Source organism: Homo sapiens, chromosome 5 (assembly GCF_000001405.40).
Source record: "Homo sapiens chromosome 5, GRCh38.p14 Primary Assembly".
In the NCBI taxonomy this organism is placed as follows: Eukaryota; Metazoa; Chordata; class Mammalia; order Primates; family Hominidae; genus Homo; species Homo sapiens.
The window spans coordinates 50627525-50635387 of NC_000005.10; the positions used below are offsets into that span (position 1 = coordinate 50627525).

General features: G+C 39.1%; 1 pseudogene; it reads left to right on the forward strand.

Annotated features, from left to right (window-relative positions):
• LOC202319 (peptidylprolyl isomerase A like 4G pseudogene) lies at positions 5556 to 6297 on the forward strand (annotated as a pseudogene).

Here is a 7863-nt window from a genome sequence, read left to right on the forward strand (position 1 = left end):
AAAGCAGACTCAGAATCTGCAATTTATCAGGATCCCCAGGTAATTTGTATGTGCAGTCTAGTTTGGTAGATCTGCTCTGGCAGACTGGAAGACTCTTCTATCTGCCTCATGTAAGGTGCAGGTGACATAATTAGGTAATCAAGCAAAAGATCACATTTTTTAATAAGAAAGAGACACTGGCTATTATTTTGAGTGGCAAAACAGGTTATTCAGTCCCAGTTTAAAATGGAAATGACAGAGACCAAGATCAAGATTTCTAATTTGAGATGTGCCTGTGATGCAATTACATTTGCTGAATGAAACTGCTTCAGTAATTAGATGCAGGTTTCTTCTCTCTTCTTTTTGAGATGTAGAGAGGACACAATAGGCTCATGGAACTTAAAGAACTCGACACCAGCTAACAAAACATGCTATCCAGCTTCTTTCATTTCACCATATTGCTTTCTTGAAAACATAGTACAGTGCCAGTTTAGCATTGAAAAAAATCAGTTCTCCTAATTCTAAAAAGAGGAGACAGCCAGGCGTGGTGGGTCACTAAAAATACAAAAAATTAGCTGGGCATGGTGGTGCATGCCTGTAATCCCAGCTACTTGGGAGGCTGAGGCAAAAGAATCACTTAAACCCGGGAGGCGAAGGTTGCAGTGTGCTCAGATAGCACCATTGCACTCCCGCCTGGGCAACAAGAGTGAAACTCCATCTCAAGAAAAAAAAAAGAAACAGAGAGAGAGAGACAAACTGTAATTTCATTTCAGAAGTTTTATAGGGTACTATTTCCAGTTCTTTTTTTCTTACTCCATTGAAGTGTAATTAGCAGTATGTGAAAATTTCCACTTTATCCTCAATCAGTAGCCTCTCCTTCCAATTAGCATATTTTTTCTATTAATTTTGTAAAGTGGGATTCTTGTTTTACACATACCCCTGGAAAGTATACTTAAACTGTGAGACCCTGGGATTTTATATTTCCAAATAGAAGATACCATCCTCTTGTATCACAAAATGTACTTAAGATGGTTTGGATTATATTTAAATATTCTTGAATGAAATAGACTTAGTGATTGAAGCCAATTATTATATTTTTCCACACCAAAATAAATGCAATAGGAAAAGATGACAGTACTATCTAGTATTCCTGCTTCAATATTGCACAAATTAGAAACATACATATTCTGTTATGTTATAGGGTCTAGGGCTTTCGGAGGACAAGGCTGCAGTCAGCTGAGATCGTGCCACTGCACTCCAGCCTGGGCGACAGAGTGAGACCCTTTCTCAATAATAGTAATAAAAGTAAAAAGAAATATAATATTTAATCAATATATGCACACACATGGGTTTATCATGACACACATGACATTTGTGTACAGTGAAAAAAAATGAGTAAATCTAGAAACCTGTATTGCCTCAATAGCTAGCTGAGTACTTCAATATGCATGTTTATTTCAACAATTTTGTGTTAAGCTTCAGTGGTAAGTAAGCAGAGTACACTGACCATAATGAATACTTCTTTTGATGAGGGTTATCACTACACAATTAAAATATGATATAGTTGGCTGGGCACGTTGGCTCACACCTATAATCCCAGCACTTTGGGAGGCCGAGGCAGGTGGATCTCCTGAGGATGGGTGTTCCAGACCAGCCTGACCAACATGGAGAAACCCCGTCTCTATTAAAAATACAAAATTAACCAGGCGTGGTGGCACATGCCTGTAATCCCAGCTACTCAGGACACTGAGGCAAGAGAATCACTTGAGCCCGGGAGGCAGAGGTTGTGGTGAGCTGAAATAGTGCCATTGCACTCCAACCTGGGCAACAAGAGCAAAACTCCATCTCAAAAAAAATAATAATAAATATATATATATTATATATAATAAATATATCATATATATGATATAGTTTAGAGTTAAATACTGACTGCTCTCGGGAACTTTGAGGTATTCTGAGGGATATAAATAACATGAAGAGAATAGCACATTGGCTTGCAGCAGATTAGAGTCTGTTACCTGCGTGAATACTTGTTTTTCATGAACTATGAGGATCCCCTTAGCTTTTGAACCACTTCTACTTGTGTTTAAATTTACCCTTTAATTTTGGGGTTTGCTGCCCTTCTGTTCCGCTTGAGTCTGGCTTTTCCTACTCTGACTCACTTTGATTCTTGACCTCTGAATCTTATTCCTATTTTACAATAAACACATGTGGCACATATGCCAATGAGTAGAGTGGAAGAGAGAAAAATTGCCAAGGAACTGTGTTTAATTTTGTTCCTTTCGCAAACCAGATACCATAACAGAAAAATTTTAGGAATATGTGCATGTTCAGTAGCCTTCAATGCAATTACAGTCATTATTACAAAGTGTTGGATAATCAATATTTTTTAAAGATTCACTAGTCCCTTCTCATAATTTTAGAACTTTGGGAAGTAACAATACAAATGTATTTTTAGCTGTGTCCTTTAATCTTTTACTGTTTCCTCTATGTGTGGTGTTTGGTTTGTGTGTGTGTGATAATTATTATAAAGATCAGAGGCTAACAGAGGTGTTTATCACAAACTTTTAAGATTTTTATTTTTATTTTTTAATTCTTTTTAAGAGACAGAGTCTCACTGCGTCACTCAGGCTGGATGCAGTGGTGCCAACTTAGCTCACTGCAACCTCCGCCTTCAAGGTTCAAGCGATTCTGCTGCCTCAGCCTCCCAAGTAGCTGGGACTACCGGAGGGCGCCACCATGCCCCACTAATTTTTGTATTTTTAGTAGAGACGGGGTTTCATCATGTTGGCCAAGCTGGTCTTGAACTCCTGACCTCATGATCCGCCCGCCTCAGCTTCCCTAAGTTCTGGGATTACAAGCGTGAGCCACCGCGCTCAGCTGCATGACCTTTTAACTTGCCTCATACACTCAATATACTCAAGGTATACCTTCCAAAGTGAAAAATTATGGCACGTTGCAGTCCTGACCACTAATTGAGAACTTTGATGCATTGGATTTTGGAGACCTCATTTTATCACCTGGTCCTTTTACTTTATGACTTGTCATGCTGCCATCTTTTGATGGGATTGAGATCAAGATAATAATTCCCAACTGGTCAGGAATATTGTGCCCCTTTGTTTTTATATCCAGATGCAATAGAGCCTCTGACACACCACTACTATGGTTCTTAGGATTTGGAACAAAATGCTTCTTTCTTTGACAAAATAAATGTTTTCTTTAAAGAATTCTTGATTGATCCTGGACCATTGTAGAAACTGAAGTCTTACCAATGCAAAAAAATATGACAACATGAGCTGCTTATCATGAAATAAGTGTTTTCCAGTTAACTATCCTGCTTCATCCGCAGGTAGGAATAATAGAATCTATACCTATGTCTTCATGGGAATTTCTCTATGGCCAGTTGATTAGTGAGGGAAAAATTGAGCCTGATTTACAGAAGTCGCTGTACAACATCACAGCAACAGCCAAAAGTAGATTGCTTAGGCATTATAACCTACTTGAATGCAATTTTAAAAGAAATTCAGCCTATGTAATCAGTTGTCCACGATGTCTAGAAGGAGAGATATTACTGATTTATATGTGGCAGCTAAAAATTTGTCTAGGTAATTAGGGACTTGGGGCCAGGACTGGTGGCTCACACTTGTAATCCCAGAACTTTGGGAGGACAAGACAGGCGGATTGTCTGAGGTCAGGAGTTCGAAACCAGCCTGGCTAACATGGTGAAACTCCATCTTTACTAAAAATACAAAAATTAGCCAGGTGTGGTGGTGTGTGCCTGTAGTCCCAGCTACTCGAGAGGCTGAGGCGGGAGAATCTCTTGAATCCAGGAGGCAGAAGTTGCAGTGAGCCAAGATTGCACCACTGCACTCCAGCCTGGGCAACAAAGCGAAACTCCGTCTCAAAAAAAAAAAAAAAAAGATAATTAGGGACTTGGAAGGACAAAGATTGAAGGATTGGTGACAATGAGTTTTGGGGAAAAATACGTAGATGAACTACAGAAAATGAGCCAGAGTGTAAGAATATTTGTGCTTAATATGAATACTCACCAAACTATCATCAGGAAGGTTATCAAATAAATATGAAGGTATGAAACAACTTCTTTCACCAGGCACTACATTGCTTGCTCAGAAGGCTAATAAACAGCAACATTGGTGGTAGCAGTAGAGAATACATATAGGTTTAGCAACATGTTGGACTTTACCACTGTCCCTTACCAAAGCCTATTTAGCTGTCAAGACTATTAGGTGTCCAACACACAAGCAACAAGGACCAAGGCTAAGCACAAAATAACATATCCTGGGTGAAAAAAACAGTCACCTTTTGTCAGACTTGTTGATTTTACTGGAGCTCCTCTATGATAAAGGCAACAAGGAATGTTGTAAATGGAATCTAGCTTTATATCCTTGAATTACATTTGCTTGACCTGACATCATGTTTCTCTGATCACCACTCTCCGTGGGTACATTGAATGCTTTATACATACTGCCATAATATCCTGTTCTACATCCTTCTATTCAAAGAACTTGTTGTATAACAAATGAGTAGATATTCACTGCACTCACCTGGTCCACCATTTATCCTATCACTAACCAAAATTATTATTATTATAGAATGGCGAATATTTTATTAAAGACTCAATCACAGTGCCAGCTGGAGACAATGGCTTATAAGGTTGTACTCATGCCAGAGGATGTGGTGGTGTATCCTCTGAACTAGTAACTAAGTATAAGCTTGTCTGGTGTCTCCCATATAAAAAATACAACAATCTTTGATCTTTGTTATGAATGTTGAAGTGACTCCTTTTGTCATTACATCTAATGATCCACTCCAAATATTTGTCTCTTGTCTCTGAGATTCTAGGTTTTTGCAGAATTAGTACCCAAGGGGAGAGTCTCAACAGTATTTCATTTTACGATCCATCCTTTGTTAGAGGATGAAAGACTTCTAACTGGCCTTTTAGGTTGCCTGAGACCTTTAGACAAACAGTCAAAAATTTAAAATTTAAAATGTGGCACACTGTTGCATGGGGTAGTAAATCTTGACCTTAAAACTGGTATTTGTAAGAAAAACAGAAAGAATTCAGGGATCCCCTTTGATGGCTCTTAATTCTATACAGTCCTATAAATATTCATGAAGACTAGCCAGGCGTGGTGGTGCACACCTGTAATTCCAGCTACTCCAGAGGCTGAGGAAGAGAATGACTTGAACCTGGGAGGCGGAGGTTGCAGTGAGCTGAGATCATGCCACTTCACTCCAGCCTGGGTGACAGAGCAAGACTCTGTCTCAAAAAAAAAAAAAAAAAAAAGAAAAAATTAATGAAGACTAATTGCCAAAACTTGGAAGCAACCAAGATGTCCTTCAATAGGTGATTACATAAGCAAACTGTGGTATATTCATACAGTGGAATATTATTCAGTGCTAAAAGGAAAAAACTATCAAGCCACAAAAAGATACAGAAAAAACAAATATATTTTGCTAAGTGAAAGAAGCCAGTCTGAAAAGGGTACATACTGTGATTTCAACTATATGACATTCTGCAAAAGGCCAAACTATAAAGACAGTAAAAAGATCAGTGGTTATCTTTGCAGATGCCACCGTCGCTGGGAGCCCTGTACTATCAGCCATGGTCAAACCCATCGTGTTTTTTGACATCGCCGTCGACGCCAAGCCCTCGGGCCGCATCTCCATCAAACTGTTTGCAGACAAGATTCCAAAGACAGCAGAAAAGTTTCATGCTCTGAGCACTGGAGAGAAAGGATTTTGTTATAAGGGTTCCTGCTTTCACAGAATTATTCCAAGGTTTATGTGTCGGGGTGGTGACTTCACACACCATAATGGCACTGGTGGAGAAATTTCATGATGAGAACCTCATCCGAAAGCATACAGGTTCTGGCATCTTGTCCATGGCAAATGCTGGACCCAACACAAATGGTTCCCAGTTTTTCATCTGCACTGCCAAGACTGAGTGTTTGGATGGCAAGCATGTGGCCTTTGGCAAGGTGAAAGAACACATGAATATTGTGGAAGCCATGGAGCACTTTGGGTACAGGAATGGCAAGACCAGCAAGAAGATCACTATTGCTGACTGTGGACAATTCTAATGAGTTTGACTTGTGTTTTATTTTAACCACCAGACCCATTCCTTATGTAGCTCAGGAGAGCACCCCTCCACCACATTTGCTTGCAATATCCTAGAATCTTTGTGCTCTTGCTGCAGTTCCCTTTGGGTTCCATGTTTCCCTTGTTCCCTTCCGTACTAGCTGGATTGCAGAGTTGAGTTAAGTTTATGATTATGAAATAAAAACCAAGTAACAACAACAAAAAAAAAAAGATCAGTGGTTGCCAGGGGTTTGGGGATGGGTAGGGAGATAAATAGTTCTGAAACAGGCGATTTTTAGGGGATTGAACATAGTTTGGTAATAATGTAATGATGGGTACATGACATTATGCATTTTGCAAAACTCATAGGCCTGTACCACACAAAGAGTGAACCCTAATGTAAACTGGGGGTGGGATGAAGGTGAGAGTATGTGAGAACTCTGTACTTTCTGCTCGATCTTTCCGTAAAGCTAAAACAGCTCAAAAAATAAAGTCTATTATTTTTTTAAATGAAAGAAATTAACAATGACCATAGCACGCTCACACAAATAGATTATCGAGGACATTTCTCTGTCAGGAATGAATATTGGGTCATCTCACAAGGTAAAACCCTGACTAGCAGAGGTGTTAGCTGAGGGCACATGGCTGTAGATGCCAACAGTGACCTGATGGCCACTTGCAGAAGGGAGAGCCTTGACATCCAAACACATTGTTTCTCTTGTATTGTCCTGTGCATACTTATGTATCTTAACAAGTTTCCTTCTTTCCTCTTCATTTATCCCTCTTTTTAAAACAGGGCTTATTGAGGGTGATTAACTTAATTTTTAAATGATATGTGGCAGAATGTCAAGAGAGTATAGTGGAGAACTTCGTAAGGAATGGACATAACCCAGAATTCTTAGACTCAGAGTACATGCTGTGATTGAGAATTTTTTATTGTTTCATTGTTCAAGAGATTGTAGGTACATGTTCAATTATTAGAGAAATAGTTGCACTCTGTTAGAAGGTAGCTTGGGTCTTTTGTGTTTACTTTCAAAAGGGAAAGTTTATATTGATATTGAACAAGTTAAAGCATGCATATTTATTATTTGATGTTTGTTTCTGTGTTTGAGGAATTCCTCAGCCTATCAGTTTTGACGAAAACAAGAAACCACCTCCTGCTTTAGAAGCTAAAATGCCAAATGCTTGCTTTCTCAGCCTCCTTTGCAGCTAGGCTACAAGCATATGATTTAGGTTTTGCCAATCTGTTTGCCAGTGCTGAATTTCGACTTTGGAATTAATAAAAAAAGAAGCAGATTCAGTTATGCTTTCTCTTGTTTCTGGTGGAGGCCATGTAGCAGCTGCTACAATATCTGTTGCATAGGGAACAAGTGGGAGTGGTGCTGGTGGCTTTGCAGTTAGCCTAGGATTGAGCAATTGCTGCAACTGTTGCTCTCTGCAGCTTCAGCGTTACTTCTTACTGGTGGTGACAGTGGTTTCCTCCCTGGATGAGTTCTACAGCATGGTTTGGGGTACATTTCCTGGCTGCCTAGCTTTGATCTGGCTTTCTAGCCTTCTCAACAGTTCTACAAGTTCCCCACTATTTCTGTGGTAAACCTATTTATTGTTAATGTCAGCCATAATTGGCTTCTGTGGTTTATATTTTTTAAAATTCCAAGATATACAAATGTAACAGATAGCTCAACAAACATATGTCTTTTTAAATTAAGATATATTCTGTGTCACATGAAGTACAATGGACAAAATTCAACAAATTGAATTGCGCTAAAGACCAAAGATATA